This window comes from Homo sapiens, chromosome 1 (genome assembly GCF_000001405.40).
Source record: "Homo sapiens chromosome 1, GRCh38.p14 Primary Assembly".
Taxonomy (NCBI): domain Eukaryota; kingdom Metazoa; phylum Chordata; class Mammalia; order Primates; family Hominidae; genus Homo; species Homo sapiens.
Window position 1 is genome coordinate 45,359,007 of NC_000001.11, and position 21,109 is coordinate 45,380,115.

At 42.6% G+C, this 21,109-nt stretch overlaps 1 protein-coding gene across 2 annotated transcripts in view, besides 3 other annotated features; it reads right to left on the minus strand.

Moving 5' to 3' along the window:
* The window catches only part of TESK2 (testis associated actin remodelling kinase 2), a 147,281-nt gene that overhangs the window by 15,124 nt on the left and 111,048 nt on the right, over window positions 1-21,109 (minus strand). The gene's annotated exons all lie outside the window — the stretch shown is intronic.
* Window positions 889-988: an enhancer, noted in NCBI's record as "active region_967". NCBI's record gives its function as "activates an Ori minimal core promoter by ATAC-STARR-seq in GM12878 lymphoblastoid cells {active_cell/tissue: GM12878}" and the evidence as "EXISTENCE:reporter gene assay evidence [ECO:0000049][PMID:35858748]".
* Window positions 1,249-1,328: an enhancer, noted in NCBI's record as "active region_968". NCBI's record gives its function as "activates an Ori minimal core promoter by ATAC-STARR-seq in GM12878 lymphoblastoid cells {active_cell/tissue: GM12878}" and the evidence as "EXISTENCE:reporter gene assay evidence [ECO:0000049][PMID:35858748]".
* Window positions 1,459-1,958: an enhancer, noted in NCBI's record as "H3K4me1 hESC enhancer chr1:45826137-45826636 (GRCh37/hg19 assembly coordinates)". NCBI's record gives its function as "activates a minimal SCP1, AML or CMV promoter by ChIP-STARR-seq in naive H9 embryonic stem cells {active_cell/tissue: H9 hESC(naive)}" and the evidence as "EXISTENCE:reporter gene assay evidence [ECO:0000049][PMID:30033119]".

A 21,109-nucleotide genomic window follows, 5' to 3' on the forward strand; every position in this document is an offset into this window, starting at 1 on the left:
AGAGGGAAATTCCTCTAAGCCTAAAATTTATATCTTAATACATATTTTTGGGTACCATTGCATTTACAAAGGACTAGGGAACTTAATGGGATAAGAGGAGAAATATCTGAATTCTAGCCCAATTCAGCCTCCTAATAGCCATTTAACTTGGACAAATCAACTAATAAGGCTATCCATCTTTCACTTTTCTCAACTATAAGTAGGTATGATAATCCCTGATTCACCTAATTTGCAGTGTTGTTATGAGAATCTAATAAAATATGTGAAAGTTGGCCAGGCGCCGTGGCTCACGCCTGTAATCTCAGCACTTTGGGAGGCCAAGGCGGGCAGATCACCTAAGGTCAGGAGTTCAAGACTAGCCTGGCCAACATAGTGAAACCCCATCTCTACTAAAAATACAAAAATTAGCCGGGCATGGTGGTGGGTGCCTGTAATCCCAGCTACTCGGGAGGCTGAGGCAGGAGAATCACTTGAACCCGGGAGGCGGAGGCTGCAGTGAAGTGAGATTGAGCCACTGCACTCCAGCCTAGGCAACAGAGTGAGACCCTGTCTTGAAAAAAAAATATGTAAAAGTTGGCCAGGCGAGATGGCTCACACCTGTATTCCTAGCACTTTGGGAGGCCAAGGCAGGTGGATCCCCTGAGGCTAGGAGTTCGAGACCAGTCTGGCCAACATGGTGAAACCCCATCTCTACTAAAGATACAAAAATAAGCAGGGCATGGTGGCAGACGACTGTGATCCCAGCTACTTGGGAGGCTGAGGCACGAGAATCACTTGAACCTTGGAGGCAGAGGTTGCGGTGGGCAGAGATCATATCACTGCACTCCAGCCTGGGCAACAGGGTGAGACTCTGTCTCAAAAAAATAATAATAAAATAAAATATGTGAAAGCGCTTCGAAAAAAATTTAAATGTCATATATTTTCTGATGTGGTAATAATATAAGCACCAAAAAGAACCAGTTGGGGGCAGCACCATGCAGCACTTCAGATCCTTGGAAGCGTCGGACCAGTTTTGGCAAGACAGAAAGAATGACTAAAAATAAATCTTCCAACTTCTCAAAAGGGAAACTTGTTGATCTGCTTCATCCTGCTTGATAATCCATCTTTGAAAATCTTAAAATAAGGCATAATGACGGCATAAGCACAGCGCCTTGCTCTCTTCATTCTAGTTGAATCTGCCCAAGATTCACATTTGAGGTGCCCATTTGCTGAAAAGAAACTGAGCTTGTGAACTTCAGGGTTATAAGTGGGCAGTGAAGCTGACATCTAATCATGCAGGCAGATTTCTTTAGCTCTGAAAGTCAAAAGGTAGGCAGTGGTTCACTTCTTTAGCATGATGACAGTGTGATATGTCGGGCCTGTCTTCAGGAGCCACTCAGGTTTCCCAACTGAGTGCCAGGCAGAAGACACTATAATGAAAAGACTGTATGTGCACTCTCTATAGGCCAGGTGACACCAGGACTCTTGGTTCTGGGAAACACTTGTTTACTCTGTTCAGCAGTGTCTCTGAAGGCCCTGGAAATCCATATGCAAAGCCAGAGGGTGGAGAGCACAGGAAAAGGTGACAAAAGATGAGGAATCACACTTGGCTAATAGATTCTGGCTTCTCCAGGCAAACTGGAAAAAGCGCAAACCAAGGACCAGAGAGGGAAAACAAATGGAATTTGCTTTTACAACCCATTTCTCTTGCCTGCCTTTGGTGAATACATTAGTTGGGCTGATAAGCCTGTAGGCCCTCAGAAACCGCTTCTCAATGTTTCAAGACCTCTGCATGCATAAGAAAAGGAAATTTGAGATTTGTCAACAAGGAAGATTTCTTTCTTTTTTTTGAGACGGAGTCTCACTCTGTCCCTCAGGCTGGAGTGCAGTGGCGCCATCTCGGCTCACTGCAACCTCCACCTCCCAGGTTCAAGTGATTCTCCAGCCTCAGCTTCCCGTGTAGCTGGGATTACAGGCTGTGTCACCACACCCAGCTAATTTTTGTATTTTTTAGTAGAGACAGGGTTTTCCCATGTTGGCCAGGCTTGTCTCGAACTCCTGACCTCAGGTGATCCACCCGCCTCAGCCTCCCAAAGTGCTAGGATTACAGGCGTGAGCTACCGCACCCAGCCAGAAGATTGCTACACGGTCTCTGTGCCCATTAGCTGGAATGTTCACTTCTCCATAAGCAACTCCCAGTGCAGACTCAGCTGGTGTGGCCTCTAAACAAATCCCTCTGCAGGAAGCAGAGACAAGAGCAACTGCATTAGCATGTTCAGCTTTCCCGGATGGGGATAACAGCTGCTTTGCTTTCATTTTCAGCTAGACTACTCCCTCGGTCAGCCCTATAAAATGACCCAAGGCATTGGTAATACATTTAATTAATACAGAAGTTTTAATATTTTTAATTGTTGTTATTTTAACCTTTCAAGTTAGAAAACTATAATACAGTCAATAAAATGTGTTATAGATACTTCAATACCTCTCAGTGGCTGTTACCTTTTTCTATACCAACTTTACCTATACCAAAACTTGCCTCACTTCCTCACGGTCTAATAAAATAACAGAGTTTCTTCCATTTCATTTGTGTTTGATACTTGGTTTCATTAAATATATACAGCCTTTTCCTAGAAGGCACTCAATAACTTTCTAAAGTGTATTGGTAATTCAACTATATTATGTAAATAAACCTTTATTACTAAAATGCAAGAAATCATATGCCAACATCTTTTTTAAAATCACCAAAGGCACAGAGAAGTGGACACTCAGTTCTCCACTCAGGAATATCAATTCAGGTTATTTCTACAAACATTTATTGAGCACTCCTCCCCCTACTGCCACTTCCATATGAGAGTAAGAACTTGTCTCTTGGCCAGGCACAGTGGCTCTCGCCTGTAATCCCAGCACTTTGAGAAGCTGATGTGGGAGGATCGCTTGAGGCCAGGAGCTCAAGACCAGCCTGGGCAACATAGCAAGACCCCCACTCAAAAAAAAGATGGTAAATTATATGTTATATGTATTTTACCACGATAGAGAATGTGTGTACAAGTGTCCCCATAGTTCTTTAGTCCCTTCCACTATGTAAGGACACAACAAAAAGACAGGCATTTATGAACCATGAAGTAGGCCCTCACCAAACACTGAATCTGCCTGTGCCTAGATCTTAGATTGCCCAGCCTCCAGAAGTGTGAGAAATAAATTTTTGTTGTTTATAAGCTACCCAGTCTATGATATATTCTTATAGCAGCATAAATGGACTAAGACAACTGCCTAGGCTAAAGAGTATAGGTTCTTCCCACATATCCCTATAGGGTCTGGTAGGTACCAATTCAGGCACAGACAAGCACATAAACATATCCATACAGAGAATATTCTGGACTGGCTCTAGGGAATATGTACCTCTCTCTGAGGTAAATGCACCCAGGACTCCAGTTCCCAATTCTTGCTGATTCTAGTCAGCTACAGTAGTTTCAACCAATTATAACTATTCAGAACAATAAGACAAAATGGTAGTTTTAAAAAAATTTGAATTACCAGTGTACTGATACCTGCAACCAAATAAGCTTATCTCTGAACAGTGGTTCAAAGGCATTCAGAGAAGGTCTGGAGAAAATATCAACTCTAAGAATTATTATTCCTTTTTGAAAAATCTACCCAACTGGCCAGGAGTTAGGGCATTTACCCAAAGAAGATAACTGTGCTGTCATCTAACTAGCAGAGATAATTTGCTACCATCTAATTAGCAACATGGTACTGAGAAAGATTCATCCATCCTTCTGTTCACCTACCCAAACACTGAAAACCTACAATGTGAAACACAAAGATAAATGGGGCCAGTCTCTGCCCACAGAGACTAGTCTAGCCTAGATGGTCTAGTAGGGATGCCATACAATCAACTAACACTTTTTTTTTTTCACACAGGAGAATAACATGATCAGATATGCTACATAGAAATATTCTAACAGTAGTATAAAAATTGTATGAAAAGGTCAGGAACTGAGGCTGGGAGAAGAGTTAGGATAACCAAGGCCTGAATAAGACAATGGCAGCAAGAATGGAAAGGAGGTTATTATCTCAGAGACATTAGAGGTAGAATCAGCAAGATTTGGTGTTTGTTCAAAGGCAAGGAGTAATTAAAGAGATAAGGTCTAAATACAAAGTCAGTCCAGTTTGGTGTTTAGCTCATAGTACACAACTCATTCTCCCATTTAACAGTATCTTTTTAAAATTTATTTTCATTTTTTACAACAGGTAGAACCCACTATCAATAACTTATCATTCTCACGCCTCCCTTAGGTTATTCCATTAGCTTTCTAACCTGTTTTCTTGCCCCCTTTTGCATCTTGAAAAGATTTAGCCCTCATTCCAATCCATTTTCCACAATATAGCCAAGACAATCTTTCTGAAATGCCAACCTGAAGCCACTCTCCTGTTAAAATTATTCAGTGATGTGCTATTACTTGTAGGATAAAACCCACAATCCTTAGAAAGGCACACAAAGCCTTTCACTCCTGCTTATAAAAGTCTGACTCCTGCTCACCTGCACATTTGTACACATTGCTGGTCCCTTTACCTCTAATATCCTTCCCCTTTCCCCACCTAGGCCTGGCTAATATTCACTCATTGTTGAGGATTTAATTCCATTTCATGGTAACCCATAGGCAGGGTTGGGGATAAGAAAGACAGTCTATGCAAAAGGAACACAAAGATAACAAAGCACAGAGATTAGTAATTATTCTTTTTTTTTTTTCTGTATAAGTAGGGGAGAAAGTATGAAGCTAAAAAGTTAAGATGGGCAGTATAATATAGTGGTGACTGCAGTTAGGCTGGCTAGGATTGAATCTCATCTCAGACTATAATAGTTGTAGAGCCCTGAGTTGGTTACTCAGTTTGTTTAATACACATCTATAAAATGGGAATAATAATAGTGCCTAACCCACAGAGTTGTTGTGAAGATTCAGTAAGTTGATACATGTAAAATGCTAAGAATAATGTCAAGGAAAGTGCTCAATATGTCAGTTATGACTATTTCTATTATTATTATTATATTTGTTATTAGTGCAGAAGTTCTGGAATACCAAGATGAAGCATCTACAGTTAATTCAGCAGACCACAGGGGCCACTGAAGGTTTATAGGTAAAGGTATAATATGATCTAATGGGGGTTGAATTACATCCCCCCAAAAGATGCATGCAAGTCCTAAACCCTGGTAAGGTAACTATAAATGTGACCTTATTTGGAAATAGGGTCTTTGCCAATGTAATCAAGTTAAGATGAGGTCACATTGGAGTAGGGCAGGCCCTTAATCCAATACGACTGGAATCCTTATAAAAAGAGTGGCAAGAGATATAGGCACACAGGGAAAATGTCATGTTAAGATAGAGGCAGAAATTGGACTGAGACATCTACAAGCCAAAGAACACCAAAAACCTACCAGAAGCTAGGAAAAGGCAAGAAGGATCTTCCCGTAGAGCCTTCAGAGAGAACAAGGCCCTACCAACACTTTGATTTTGGACTTCCAGCCTTCAGAACTCTGAGATAATAAGTTTCTGCTATGTCACCCACATTGTAGTGCTTTGCTATGGCAGCTCTAAGAAACTAATACATGACCCAAACTGCATTTTAGAAAGATCATTCTGGTAGCAGGATAGAGAAGGAATTAGAGGCAGTTTTGGAGGGTACTGCAACAGCCAGATGAGAGGTGACCAAACATCTAACTAACAGTGCTATTTATGGGCAAGAAAAAGTTGGCTATAGTCAGAATATAAAGCTTTTTAGCAACTGAGTGATAGATATGAGAAATAAGGAAAAAGAGTCAAAGACATCTCAGAGATTCCAAATTGAAAGGTTCAGACAGCAATGGAAAAAGATTTCAGAATCTTAAATGACTCAATGTGCCATCAGTAAGTCAGAAACCTGTCAGAAACCAGTATCAATGTCAAACAGCCAAATTAGTGGCTTGTTGGCACTCTACTCTTTGGAGGGGCTCTTTGCAGAAAAGGGTTTGGGCCCCGACCTAGTTTTCACTGTAGCCCAACAATACTTTTGTGCTGGCCACCGTATGTTTGTTGGTAGGCTCCAAACACAAAGGCTAGCCGACATCCCATCCTGCTGGCTTGGGTTAAGGAAGAAAAGAAAGCTTTGTTACTGCTCTGGGTAATTCCAGAACAGACATCCCAAGAGTGCCCTGTGGGAGGCTTGTGCTCCAAAGAAGCCTCCTGTTCTCAGCTCGAGGATCCACAGCCACTACAAGCGTACATCCGTATATCTGCCAAGGACTGAATTTGCCTACCGCTCCAGGAGGTTCACCAGGGCCTGCCTGACTGAAACAGTCAGTAGTAATGAGCTGACTCAAAAAGAAAAAGGGAACACTAGTTCTAGCCACAGAGTAAAACGTTGTTAATAACCCAAAATATATTTCAGAATATTTAAGTGTTTAACTCTTGGCCTTCATATATGCTTGCTGAATACCCTTCTTCATAGCTTTGCTAATTCTTATTCATCCTCCTTGTTTATTTATTTTCATTTTTTTTATTATTATTATTTTGAGATAAAGTTTCCCTCGTTGCCCAGGCTGGAGCACAATGGCATGATCTCAGCTCGTTGCAACCTCCTCCTCTTGCGTTCAAGTGATTCTCCTGCCTCTGCCTCCTGAGTAGCTGGGATTACAGGCGTGCACCACCACGCCCGGCTTTTTTTTTTTTTTTTTTTGAGACAGAGTCTCACTCTGTTGCCCAGGCTGCAGTGCAGTGGCGTAATCTCAGCTCACTGCAACCTCTGCCTCCCGGGTTCAAGCAATTCTGCCTCAGCCTCCTGAGTAGCTGGGATTACAGGCGTGTGCCACCACACCTGGCTAATTTTTGTATTTTTAGTAGAGATGGGGTTTCACCATGTTGGTCAGGCTGGTTTTGAACTCCTGACCTTGTGATCCACCTACCTTGGCCTCCCAAAGTGCTGGGATTACAGGCATGAGCCACTGCACCCAGCCTAATTTTGTATTTTTAGTAGAGACGGGGTTTCACCATGTTGGCCAGGCTGGTCTCAAACTCCTGACCTCAGGTGATCCGCCTGCCTCGACCTCCCAAAGTGCTGGGATTACAAGCATGAACCACCACACTGGCCCTTATTTATTTATTTGTCACCCAGGCTGGAGTGCAGTGGCGTGATCCCAGCTCACTGCAACCTCCACCTCCAGGGTTTAAGCAATTCTCCTGCATCAGCCTCCTGAGTAACTGGGATTACAGGCATGGACCACCAGACCTGGCTAATTTTTGGTATTTTTAGCAGAGACGGAGTTTCAACATGTTGGCCAGCTGGTCTCAAACTCCTGACCTCAAGTGATCTGACCGCTTAAGCCTCCCAAAGTGTTGGGATTACAGGTGTGAGCCACCACGGCCAGCCACTTATTCATCCTTCTGAACTCATGGAAAGCATTCCTTGATACTCCATCCCATTCTTAGTGCTAGGCTGGGCACAGTAGCTCACACCTGTAATCCCAGTACTTTGGGAGGCTGAGGCAGGAGTATTGCTTGAGCCCAGGAGTTCGAGCCCATTCTTGGTGCCACTTTAGCATCCTGCACATGTTTCTACTATTGTTCATCACACTGTACTATAACATTTATGGCAGGAACTAGGTCCTGCTCAATTTTGTAAGCCCCTTTGTAAAACTCAGTGAAATTGTTGAACAAACAAATACATAATTAAGTGCATTTAAATAAATGGAGGTGGGTTTTAAGTTCCCTCTTTTATTGGAAGCCCCACCCCTCAATTTAATCATTAAAATGTAATTTAAGATATAAAAGAGAAATGTGCTTTTAGAGGAACTTTCCAATAAATATCATGCAAAAACAAATATTTAATAATGCTGGCTGGGCGCAGAGGCTCATGCCTGTAATCCCAGCACTTTTGGAGGCCAAGGTGGGCAGATTGCTTGAGCTCACGAGTTCGAGACCAGCCTGGGTAACATGGCAAAACCTTGTCTCTGCAAAAAATACAAAAATTAGCTGGGCATAGTGGTGCATGCCTGTAGTCTCAGCTACTCAGGAGGCTGAGGTGGGAGGATGGCTTGAGCTGAGGAGGCAGAGGCTGCAGTGAGCCAACATTGCAACACTGCACCCCAGCCTGGGCATTAGAGCCAGACCTAGTCTCAAAAAATAAATAAAATAAAATAAAATAAAATAAAATGTTTAATAATGCCTACTCAGACAAAGAAAGGCTCAGGCAAAAGACTGAGTCTGATCTTCTACATTGAGGAGACCATGTTGATTAGTGTTATATTCAAAAAAACCAATTCCCAAGTAATGCATACACAGCTGAAAGAAGGAAGTATTCCAGCTGCACCCTCCAAGTTTTCTACATCTCAGTAAACGGCATCGCCACCCACCTAGAAACTGGGCATCATTTGGTTCCTCGTTCTCCTTTTTTTTTTTTTTTGAGATGGAGTCTCTGTTGACTCCGGGTTCAAGCAATTCTCTTGCCTCAGTCTCCCAAGTAGCTGGGATTACAGGCATGTGCCACCATGCCTGGCTAATTGTTGTATTTTTAGTAGAGATAGGGTTTCACCATGTTTGTCAGGTTGCTATCCAAATCCTGACCTCAGGTGATCCACCTGCCTCGGCCTCCCAAAGTGTAGGGATTACAGGCGTGAGCCACTGCATCTGGTCACAAAGCATTTTTTTTTTTTTTTTTTGAGATGGAGTTTCTCTCTTGTTGCCCAGGCTGCAGTGCAATGGAGTGATCTTGGCTCACTGCAACCTCTGCCTCCCAGGTTCAAGCAATTCTCCTGCCTCAGCCTCCCGAGTAGCTGGGATTACAGGTGCCTCCCACCACGCCCAGCTAATTTTTTGTATTTTTAGTAGAGACGGGGTTTCACCATGTTGGCCAGGCTGGTCTCGAACTCCTGACCTCAGGTGATCTACCCACCTCAGCCTCTCAAAGTGCTGGGATTACAGGCGTAAGCCACCATGCCTGGCAAAGCACTTTCATAGTTACCTCATTTGACCATTGAAATTTTTTTTTTTTTTTTTGAGATGGAGTTTCACTCTTGTTGCCCAGGCTGGAGTGCAATGGCGCGATCTTGGCTCACTGCAACCTCCGCCTCCTGGGTTCAAATGATTCTCCTGCCTCAGCCTCCCGAGTAGCTGGGATTACAGGCGCCTGCCACCACACCCGGCTAATTTTTTGTATATTTAATAGAGATGGGTTTCACCATGTTGGCCAGGCTGGTCTTGAACTCCTGACTTCAGGTGATCCACCCATCTTGGCCTCCCGAAGTGCTGGGATTACAGGTGTGAGCCACCACACCCGGCCTGACCATTGTAATATCTTGAAACATTCTTGTCATCTTTTTGTTTTTGTTTTTTTGTGTGTGTTTTTTGTTTTTTTTGGTTTTCTTTTGTTTTGTTTTTCAGACGGAGTCCCGCTCCATTGCCCAGGCTGGGCTGCAGTGGCGCAATCTCAGCTCACTGCAACCTCCGCCTCTGGGTTCAAGCAATTCTCCTGTCTCAGCCTCCCGAGTACCTGGGACTACAGGCGCCTGCCACCACGCCCGGCTAATTTTTGTATTTTTTAGTAGAGACGAGGTTTCACCTTATTGGTCAGGCTGGTCTCGAACTCCTGACCTCAGGTGATCCACCTGCCTCGGCCTCCCAAAGTGCTGAGATTACAGGCATGAGCCACCGCACCCGGCTGGTTGGTTGTTTGTTTTTTGAGACGGAGTTTTGCTCTTGTTGCCCAGGTGTGAGCCACTGCACCTGGCTGGTTTTTGTTTGTTTGTTTTTTGAGATGGAGTTTTGTTCTTGTTGCCCAGGCTGGAGTGCAATGGCGCCATCTTGGCTCACTGCAACCTCCACCTCCTGGGTTCAAGCAATTCTCCTGCCTCAGCCTCCCAAGAAGCTGGAATTACAGGTGTGCGCCACCATGCCTGGCTAATTTTTGTGTGTGTGTTTTTAGTGGAGATGGGGTTTCACCATGTTGGTCAGGCTGGTCTTGAACTCCTGACCTTAAGTGATCCACCTGCCTCGGCCTCCCAAAGTGCTGGGATTATGGGTATGAGCCACCAGGCTGGCCCAGAGAACTTAAATAACTTGCCTATGATTATTCAACTAGTAAATAGTACAGCTTGGATTTGTATCCAAGCCTTGTGACCTAAAAGCCTGGGTTTCTTCTACCCTAGGAGTGTACATTTATGTAGGGAAGCTAAAGCAAAAAAAGCTTTAATAAATGAAAGAATGGGGCTGAGTGCAGTGGCTCACGCCTGTAATCTCAGCACTTTGGGAGGCCAAGGCAGGTGGATCACGAGGTCAAGAGTTCAAGACCAGCCTGGCCAACATTGTGAAACCCCGTCTCTACTAAAAATACAACAAAATTAGCTGGGCATGGTGGTGGGCACCTGTAATCCCAGGAGGCTGAGGCAGGAGAATCACTTGAAACCAGAAGGTGGAGGTTGCAGTTAGCCGAGATTGCACCACTGCACTCCAGCCTGGGCAACAAAAGTGAAACTCCATCTCTAAATAAATAAATAAATAAAAGGAAAGAAAAGAAAGAATGTGTAATAACAAAGGTACAAAAATTCTATATAGGAGAAGATGAATGGAGGGAAACATTATGATCAAATGAGTGGTGGCAGTGGAGGCGGGCAGAGAGGATGCGGCCGAGAAAAAGAATCAGGAAAGGTTTTATGGGGAAATAAGCGGACTCTGAGGCCAGGTCTTGAAGGTAAGATAATTTTTCTTTTTTTTTTTTTGAGATGGAGTCTTGCTCTATCACCCAGGCTGGAGTGCAGCGGTACAATCTCAGCTCACTGCAACCTCCACCTCCTGGGTTCAAGCAATTCTCCTGCCTCAACCTCCCCAGTAGCTGGGATTAAAGGTGCGCACCATCACACCCAGCTAATTTTTGTATTTTTAGTAGAGATGGGGGTTTCACCATGTTGGCCAGGCTGGTCTCGAACTCCTGACCTCATGATCCACCCACCTTGACCTCCCAAAGTGCTGGGATTACAGGCGTCAGCCACCGCGTCCAGCCAGGGAAGATGATTTCTATAGGACAGAGGGAAAGAGCATATTCTAGGTTGAAGAAACCATATGGATAAAGAGGCAGGAAAACACAGACCATGTTCAGTAAACAATAAGAAATCCAGTTTGCCTGAATTATAGAGTACTTGTTAAAGAAGAGGAGAACTAGGAGAAAAGTAGTATTATAGTAGGGCATAAAGGACTAGGATATCAGGCTGAGTTTATCCTGAATTCCATTTTTAAACTCTAGCTGTGAATCAAAATAATTTGTAGAACTTTATTTATTTATTTTTAAATACAGATATCTGCATCTCACCTAAGACTTTAATCAATGAGGAAATCACTGAAGGTTTCTGAGCCAGGAAATGCCATTGATTGTTAATTTATTTATTCAATCAACAAATATGATAAGCAGCTACCATTTGTCAGGCACTGTGCTAGGAACCAGTGGATGTCAATGTAAATAAAACAATCGTTGCCCTCAAGGAATTTATAATCTACACATACAAACAGTCAGTTGAAATCAATGATAAATTATATTGTATTATGAGAGCACATAGGAGGGGTACCAAACTACTCTTGGAAGATCAGAAAAGGCTTCCCAGAGAAAATGAATTCTAAGCTGGGGCCTGAGGAATTGGTTGGGCCAGGGGGGATGAAGAGGTGTGTTCTGGGCAAAGAAAAAGTCTGGTGCAGAGCTCTAAAGGTGGAAAGGGTCATGTTCCATTTGTGGAACTGAAAGAGGTTCAGTACAGCTGTAGCACACAGTTGAGACAGGAATAGAGAGGCAAGAGAAGTGAGGAGTGAGGCCATAGAGATAAGCAGTAGCAAGATCAGTTTTGACTTTACCCTGAGGACAATGAGGAGCCACAGAAGGGTTTTTTCAGGGAGAAACAAAATTAGATGTGTATTCAAAAGTGGTACTGGCATAAAAACAGACATATAGACCAATGTAATGGAATAGAGAGCCCAGAAATAAACACCTATCAACTGGGAAAGGACAGTCTTTGCAACAAATGAGAAATGCAAATCAAACCACAATGAGATATCACCTCACATCCATTAAGATAGCTACTATCAAAAAAAAAAAACACAGAAAATAACAAGTATTGGTGAGGATGTGGAGAAACTGGAACCCTTATGCACCATCAATGGATTGTAAAATGGTGCAACTGCTACAGAAAAAAAATATGGCAGTTCCTCAAAAAGTTAAAAATAGAACTACTATATGGTCCAGCAATCCTACTTCTGGGTATGTACCCAAAAGTCTGGAAAGTAAGGTTTCAAAGAGATATTTGCATACCCATGTTCATAGCAGCATAATTTACACTAGCCAAGAGGTGAAAGCAACCCAAATGTTCATCAACCCATGAATGGATCAACAAAGTATGGTATATACATACAATAAAATATTTATGCAGCCATAAAAAGGAAGAAAATACTATCACATGCAACAACATGGATGAACCTTGTGGATATTATACTAAGTGAAATAATGTGATCCCCAAAAGACAAATACCATATGATTCCACTTATATGAGGTATCAAAAGTAGTCAAATTCATAGAAACTGAAAGTACAGGCTGGGTGTGGTGGCTCACGCCTGTAATCCCAGCACTTTAGGAGGCTGAGGTGGGCGAATTGCCTGAGCTCAGGAGTTCGAGACCAGCCTGGGCAACATGGTGAAACCCCATCTCTACAAAAAATACCAAAAAAAAATTAGCTGGGCATGGTGATGCACGCCTGTAGTCCCAGCTACTTGGGAGGCTGAGGTGGGAGAATCCCTTGAGCCTGGGAGGTGGAGGTTGCAGGCAGCCGAGATTACACCATTGCACTCCAGCCTGGGTGACAGCGAGATCCTGTCTCAAAAGTAAAAAGAAAATAGAATGGTTGTTACCAGGAGCTGGGAAGAGGGAGAAATGAGTAGTTGTTGTTTAATGGGTATAGAGTTTGTTTCACAAGATGAAAAAGGCCAGCCATAGTGGCTCACTTCTATACTCCCAGCACTTTAGAACAAGGTGAGAGGATTGCTTGAGCCCAGGAGTTTGAGACCAGCCTGGGCAACTTAGCGAGACCTCATATTTACAAAAAATAAAAAATTAGCCAGATGTGGTGGCACACGCCTGTAGTATCAGCTACTCGAAAGGCTGAGACAGGAGAATCACTTGAGCTTGGGAGATCAAGGCTGCAGTAAGCCATGATCATCCCACTGCATTCCAGCCTGGGTGATGGAGTGAGACCCATCTTATTTTTGAAAAAATAACAATTAAAAAAAAAAAGATGAAAAAGATCTGGCAGCCAGGCACAGTGGCTCAAGCCTGTAATCCCAGCACTTTGGGAGGCCGAGGCAGGCAGATCACCTGAGCTCAGGAGTTCAAGACCAGCCTGCGCAACATGGTGAAACTCTGTTTCCACTAAAAATACAAAAAATTAGCCGGGTGTGGTGGTGCATGCCTGTAATCCCAGCTACTCGAGAGGCTGAGGCAGGAGAATCGCTTGAACCCAGGAGGCAGAGGTTGCAGTGAGCCAAGATCGTGCCACTGCACTCCAGCCTGGGTGACAGAGCGAGACTGTCTCAACAACAACAACAACAAAACAAGATCTGGCCTGGTACAGTAGCTACTGTCCCTATTACGTGGGAGGCTAAGGCAGGAGGACTGCTTGAGCCCAAGAATTTGCGGCTGTAATGCACTATGAACTCTAGTCTGGGCAACAGAGCAAGACTCTGCTTCTTTCTTAAAAAAAAAAAGAAAAGAAGGCCAGGCACGGTGGTTCATGCCTGTAATCCCAGCACTTTGGGAGGCTGAGACGGGTGGATCATCTGGAGTTCGAGACCAGCCTCAACATGGAGAAACCCCATCTCTACTAAAAATACAAAATTAGCTGGGCGTAGTGGTGCATGCCTGTAATCCCAGCTACTTGGGAGGCTGAGGCAGGAGAATTGCTCGAACCTGGGAGGCGGAGGTTGCGGTGAGCCGAGATCACGCCATTGCACTCCAGCCTGGGCAACAAGAGCGAATCTCCGTCTCAAAAAAAAAAAAAAAAAAAGAAAAGAAAAAGGTCTGGAGATCTGTTGCACAACAACGTGATAATACTTAATACTAACTGCTGAACTATATATTTAAAAATGGCTAAGATGATTCAAAACAACAAAAAAAGATTTGTATTTCAGGACCACTCCAGCTGGCAATAGAGACTATAGATTTAAAGTGTGGAACAAGACTGACAAAGAGACTAGTTAAAAGGTTATGGCAAGACATAATGATGGCAGAAGGAATGATGTAAGATAAATGATTCAAGAATAGTAAAGAGGTAAGATGAACAGGACATGGTGATTGGTAAGATTTGGAAAAGGGATAGATTAGGGATAAAGGAAAAGGAAACTATCATTTGTAGAAGAGCCATTCACTATATTAATACTTTTGCAAGTTATTAATTCATTTAACAAACATTCATTGAGCAGCTACTTGTGCCTAGTATTACAGAAGATTTTAGACAATCATTCTGCCACTATGATAGAACAACTTCTCATTTTTTGAAGTTCACTAAACTAGCCATTGACACAGTACCTGCTTAATAATTATTTGTTAAATAGGAAACAGACACAAGCAATTGCATTGAAATGAGCTAAAATGAGCAAGTAAGGAAATAAATGCCTATGACTGACTCTGGAAAACACTGATCTAAGAATTTATTATCTAAGCAAATAATGGTGACCAGGATAACAAGAAAAGACCACATAAAGAGAAAGAGAAAGTAAATACAGAAAGTGCAGACAGTGATTATGTATCAGGCACAGGGATGCAGAAATGCCCCTGAGTAGTAGCAATGTGTGAGAGGTATATTGGGAGACCCTCCTTCCATGGTCCTACTTGCTACAGATTCCAAAGTTGGAACAGCTCCCAGGAGCCAACATAGAACCAACTCCTGGGAATGATACCACTTATCAAGTTAGGAAAATTACACTTGGCAAATCTATTAGAAACATATCTAGCCTAAACTCAAAAAGAACTCTGTGAATTCAAGTGTCACACTAGTTTAACAATCATGAGGGGATTAGGAGAAAGATTAGCTAGAAATCCTCTGAAGAACTTTCTAAATCCTTCTGCTGTCCTCATACTACCAATGCTGTAAAAAGATTCATCAAATGGATGGCTGAAATGACCTTGAAAGAGGCAGATATCTTTGCAGCTAACAGTTTAACTGTTAAAAGCTCAAGTGTTGGGAGCAGTACTTATTTATCCATTTTCCATTTACCCAACAAATATTTATTGCATGCCTTTATGCTCCAGTTACTGACAATTCAGCAGTGAACAATAGCCAAGCCCAAGGAGCTCAAAGACTAGTAAGTACAGGATTATAGTCAGCCAAAACTTGATTTAAATCCTAGCTCAGCTACAAGACCTTAGCTAACTTAATCTCTTTCTGAGCCTCAGATTTGTCATCTGTAAAATGGGAAAAATATTACCTATTTCATAGGATTGCATGCTAATTAAATAATATATTGAGAGGGAGAAAAAAAAAGCTTAGCAGACCCTGGCACATAGAAAACATTTAGTATGAAAAATCACTGAATGATTTTTTTATTTTTGTTACTCAGGAGATAATACAGCAGTTGAAAAATGCCTCCTTCCAAATCAATGAAACACTCTCTAATGAAAATGTTGATAAACAGGATATGAACAAGGAAGGTATCACTCAGAGTACTCCTTCAGACACCAGTACTCTATGAAGATATCTCAACTCGAATGTCCAATAAATATCTCAAACTGAACCTATTCAAAAATGACCTCTTGATCATCTCCCATTGTGTACCTCCTATAGTCTTCCCATCTCCATTAATGGCAACTCTATTTTTTAGGTGTTCAGGCCAAAAACCTCAGAGTTATCCTTGACTTCTCTCATCCTCTCATACCCCACAGCCAATGCATCAGGAAAGCCTATTTGTTTGTTTTTCTTCTGCTTTCAAAATGGATCCAGAATTCCCAGCTCCACTGCTATCATTCTGGTCCATTACCATTAACTCTCACCTTTTTTGCAGTCTTTATGTATTGCACAGACTTTATTGTAACAGTCTCTTAACTGGTTTTCCTGCTTCCACCCTTTCTCTTTTTTCAGTCATTCACCAAACAGTAGCCAGGATGATCCCATTAAAGAATAAGTCACAAAAACCTCCAAAGACTTCACAATTTATCCTGAGTAAAATCTAAAGTTCTTACAGCAGTATATATGAGACTCTGATCTAGCCAGTGTTTCCTCTCTGACCCCATCTACTACTGTTCTCTTCATGCTCTCCACTGCAGTCACATCACCCACCTTGGAGTTATTCAACCAGACCAGGCACACTTCTGCCTCCACGCCTTTGCATATACTATTCCAACTACCTAGAACACTTTGATATCCACACAGCTAGTTCCTTCACCCTTTTTTTTTTTTTTTTGTGAGCCACTGCACCCAGCCCACCTTCTTAAATTTTAGCCTCTTTTATGAGGCCTTCCCTGTCTACATGTTGAAAATTGTAAACCACCTAGCACTTAACATCACATATATTACAATTTGTTCCCTTGTTTAGTTTAACTCCTCTGCCCGCCCCCTGCTGATTAAAATATAAATTCCAGCTGGGTACAGTGGCTCATGCCTGTAGTCCCAGTGCTTTGAGAGGCCAAGGTGGGAGGATCACTTGAGCCCAGGACCAGCCTGGGCAACACAGCAAGACCCATGTCACTACCAAAAATAAAAAATATAAAATAAAGTTAAACTTAAAAAAAATTAAAACGTGGGACAGGGATTTTTATTTGTTCATTATTGTATTCCCAGTACCTGGAATAGTGCCAGACATGGTAGGAGCCAAATAAATATCTTTTGGATGAATAAATGAGCCAAAAGCAAGCAAGCAAGTCAGAGAAAAACTGTTTTAAGGATAAAGTAAACTAAATAAACTCTTCTATTATTTGTGGGCTAGCTTGCCAACCTCAAATTCTTGTTTCTCAAATGTCACAGGGAGTTACTAAAAATAAGAACAGAAATGTACCACAGTTTGAGAGTTTTTTATTACTAAATGAGCAAAGCAAAAAAATTAAATAAAAATTACTTTTTCCAAAAGCAAAGTACATGTCAAACTGTATTTGTAGAAATATTTTTTGCACATAGAAGTTTAAGTGAAATAAACTTCTAATTATGAAAGGATTTGAGATGTGACATTTCTTTCTCTCTCTTTTTTTTTTTTTTTTTTTTTTGAGACAGAGTCTCACTCTGTCACCCAGGATAGAGCATAGTGGTGTGATTTCGGCTTTGTAGCCTCTGCCTCCAGGGATGAAGCAATTCTCCTGCCTCAGCCTCTCAAGTAGCTGGGATTACAGGCCCCCGCCACCACGTCTGGCTAATTTTTTTTTTTTTTTTAGTAGAGACAGGGTTTCACCATGTTGGCCAGGCTGGTCTTGTACTCCTGACCTCAAGTTATCCATCTGCCTTGGCCTCCCAAAGTGCTAGGATTACAGGCGTGAGCCACTGTGCCTGGCCTTCACACTATTTTTGATTTCTGGCTCTTTCCGCTAGGGCTAATTCAGCTTTCTTAGAGTTGGGTCTACACTAGACCATCAACTACAAACACACACTAAGCATATACTATGGGCCCAGCCACACAGAGTATTATTATAAGCTCTATCTAGGAGACTTAGTTCCATTAGAGAACCTGGGATTTGACACAGCTTGGAGAGAAGAGAGATAAGGACATTCCTAGTACTGGAAGGGACACCTAAAGCAAGAATGTATAGAAGAGAGCAAAAAGACCCATGTAACTAAGGGAGGGATTCGTATTATCAAACGAGATTAGAGAGAATTTAGAATAGGAAACATAATTTTTTAGACAGAAGCATCACATTATCAGGTGTGCTTGATGATGATTATTCAGATAGTAGTATGTCAAAATGAAGAAAACAGGTCAGGTGTGATAGCTCACACCTGTAATCCCAGCACTCTGGGAGGCCCAGGTGGGAGGATCCCTTAAGGTCAGGAGTTCGAGACCAGCCTGGGTGATATAGTGAGACTCCATCTCTACAAAAAATGTAAAAATTAGCTGGGTGTGGTGGCATGCACCTGTAGTTCCAGCTAATGGGGAGGCTGAGACAGGAGGATCATTTGAGCCCAAGGGTTTGAGGCTGCAGTGAGCTATGATGGTGCCACTGTATTCCATCTTAGGTGACAGAGCAGCAAGACCTTGTCTCTTAAGAAAAAAAAAAAGTATTTGTAGGAATTGAGGCATGAAATAATATTATGGCTTTGGAATGAAGAGAAAGAAAAATAATCAGAAAGATATCACAAAGAAGAAAATAGGAAAAGACGGCGGACCGATTAAATTCAAGTGATGAGAAAAAATCAAAACTAACCCCAAAGAACAAAGGATTCTAATAAGAGAACAAGGATTTTTTTTTTTTTTTTTTGAGACAGTCTTGCTCTGTTTGCCAGGCTGGAGTGCAGTGGTGCGATCCCGGCTCACTGCCACCTCTGCCTCCCAGGCTCAAGTGATTCTCCTGCCTTAGCCTCCCGAGTAGCTGGGATTACAAGCATGTGCCACCATGCCCAGCTAATTTTTGTATTTTTAGTAGAGACAGGGTTTCACCATGTTGGCCAGGCTGGTCTCGAACTCCTGACCTCAGGTAATCTGCCCACCTTGGCCTCCCAAAGTGCTGGGATTACAGGTGTGAGCCACTGTGCCCGGCCAAGAACAAGGATTCTAATAATGATAAGGGCCGGGCACAGTGGCTCACACCTGTAATTCCAACACTTTGGGAGGCCGAGGTGGGCGGATCACGAGGTCAGGAGTTTGAGACCAGCATGGCCAACATGGTGAAAACATGTCTCTATTAAAAATACAAAAATTAGCTGGGTGTGGTGGTGTGCGCCTGTAGTCCCAGCCACTTGGGAGGCTAAAGCAGGAGAATCTCTTGAACCTGGGAGGTGGAGGTTGCAGTGAGCTGAGATGGTGCCACTGCACTCCAGCCTGGGTGACAGAGCAAGACTCCATCTCAAAAAATAAAGAAATGAAATGATAAGGTTGGAATGGATGGCCAGTTTGGGGAAGGTAACCAAGCTAAGCTGTACTGCAAACACTAGCAAAATAACTGAGTGGAAAAAAAGAAAATGAACTATAATGAGTAACAACTATTAATATACAGAGAGATCTGAGAGTTAACAGCATGGGATAACAGATTTTTAAAAAACAGTTTCTAAGGAAGGGCACAGTAAGAATTTTCTCACTATCCCAGCCATTAACCATTGAGTTCATGAAAGACACTCCAGTGAACTAAAGATGGTCATTGACAGATGGCCTTAGTGACTTGCTTGACCAATAAAATGCAGCTTAAGGGACATTCTGGAACTTGCAAGGCTAGGTCATAAAAGGCTTGCAGCTTCCACTTGAGTGGTTTGTACCAGTCTAACTATCCTGAGATCACCATGCTGTGGGAAGCCTAAGCCATATGGAGATGATCTAAAGAATGAGACACCATGTGGAAAAAGAGAAGAACCAAGGAGTACCATGGCACCAGATATGCAAATGAAGAAGCCATCTTGGAAATGGATTTGCCAGCTCAGTCACTCCAGCTGACACATATGGATCAAAGATCCAGGAAAGCCCTTCTGCATACCTGACCTACAAAATCACAAGCAAACTAAAATTAGAAAGCCACTAAGTTTTGGGGTAGCTTGTTATGTAACAATAGATCATGGGAGCAGATGTCTTTTTATCCTAAACCTAAAGCCTAGCAAAGTACCTAGCCCATAGTAGATTCACTCAAAATGGTGTGTATCAAGTGAATCTCTACCTTCCCGTGTATTTTCTAATTTACATCTTTGTCGTTTCCCCCTCACTTGTCCTTTTAGGAAAACCTGAATCACAGATGCAATCACTGTTAGTACCTCTGGTGTGTCTCTAAACTACCATGTGGTGGTTAACAGCTGCCAGTCCCAAACTTGAAAGATAGGTATGCCTTTGCTGCCAAAGTTAACCCAAGGCAGGGCACCAAGCAACTTCACATCTTTATCATGGTAAATAAGGATAGGAAAATATTCTGTACTGAAACACACAAAAAAATAAGAAGCAGGCACAACTAATAACAATATCACATATCACAGCACACCAAAAAAACTGGAATCAGGGTCTGCCTTGCTCACTTTTCCTTTCTTTGAGATGGGGTCTCACTTTGTTGTGCAGGCTGGGGTGCAGTGGCAGAATCCTAGCTCATTGAAGCCTTGCCCTCCTGGGCTCAAGTAATCCTTCTGCCTCAGCAGGAGTAGCTGGGACCACAGGCACAAACTATCATGCCTGGCTAATTTTTAAATTTTTTTGTAGAGATAAGGTCTCACTATGCTGCCTAGGCTGGTCTTGAACGCCTGGCCTCATATAATCCTCCTGCCTCTCAACCTCCCAAAGTGCTGGGGTCACAGGTGTGAAGCCACTGGACATGGCCTTGGCTTGCTCATTTTTATAAATAACGCATGAGTTTGGTCACTGAACCCATGGAGTTTCATTGTAAGCTGTCTGATTATATAAGGCTTCTTATAAGTCTGACAAAACCAACTCAGAAGCAATACATATCAACCCGCATAAACAAGAAATTTCCAAAGTCACTAATACTCTTTAATAAAGAAAGAAGATGTATGGTTGGGTGGGAATAGGGAGTGACAGGAGGATCAGAGCTATGTGAATAACAAACTCTCTGCAATAGCCTTTAGCTAAAAGCATTTCTTTCAGTACCAAACATCTGCTCGACTGAGATGGCTCTGTTGTAAAAAGACCGAATCACCTCGACTAGGCCAAGGAATATTCTGCAACTGCAGAATTGGCTGAGTGGTTCTCATCGCCACAGAAGAAAATAAGAATAGTTTATTTTTTTTTAAATTTTTTTTTTAGGCAGAGTCTCGCTCTGTTGCCTAGAGCTCTGTTGGCTAGAGTGTAGTGGCATGATCTCGGCTCACTGCAACCTCCACCTCCCAGGTTCAAGTGATTCTCCTGCCTCAGCCTCCGGAGTAACTGGGACCATGGGCTTGTGCCACCCATGCCTGGCTAATTTTTGTATTTTTTATAGAGACGGAGTTTCACCATGTTGGCCAGGCTGG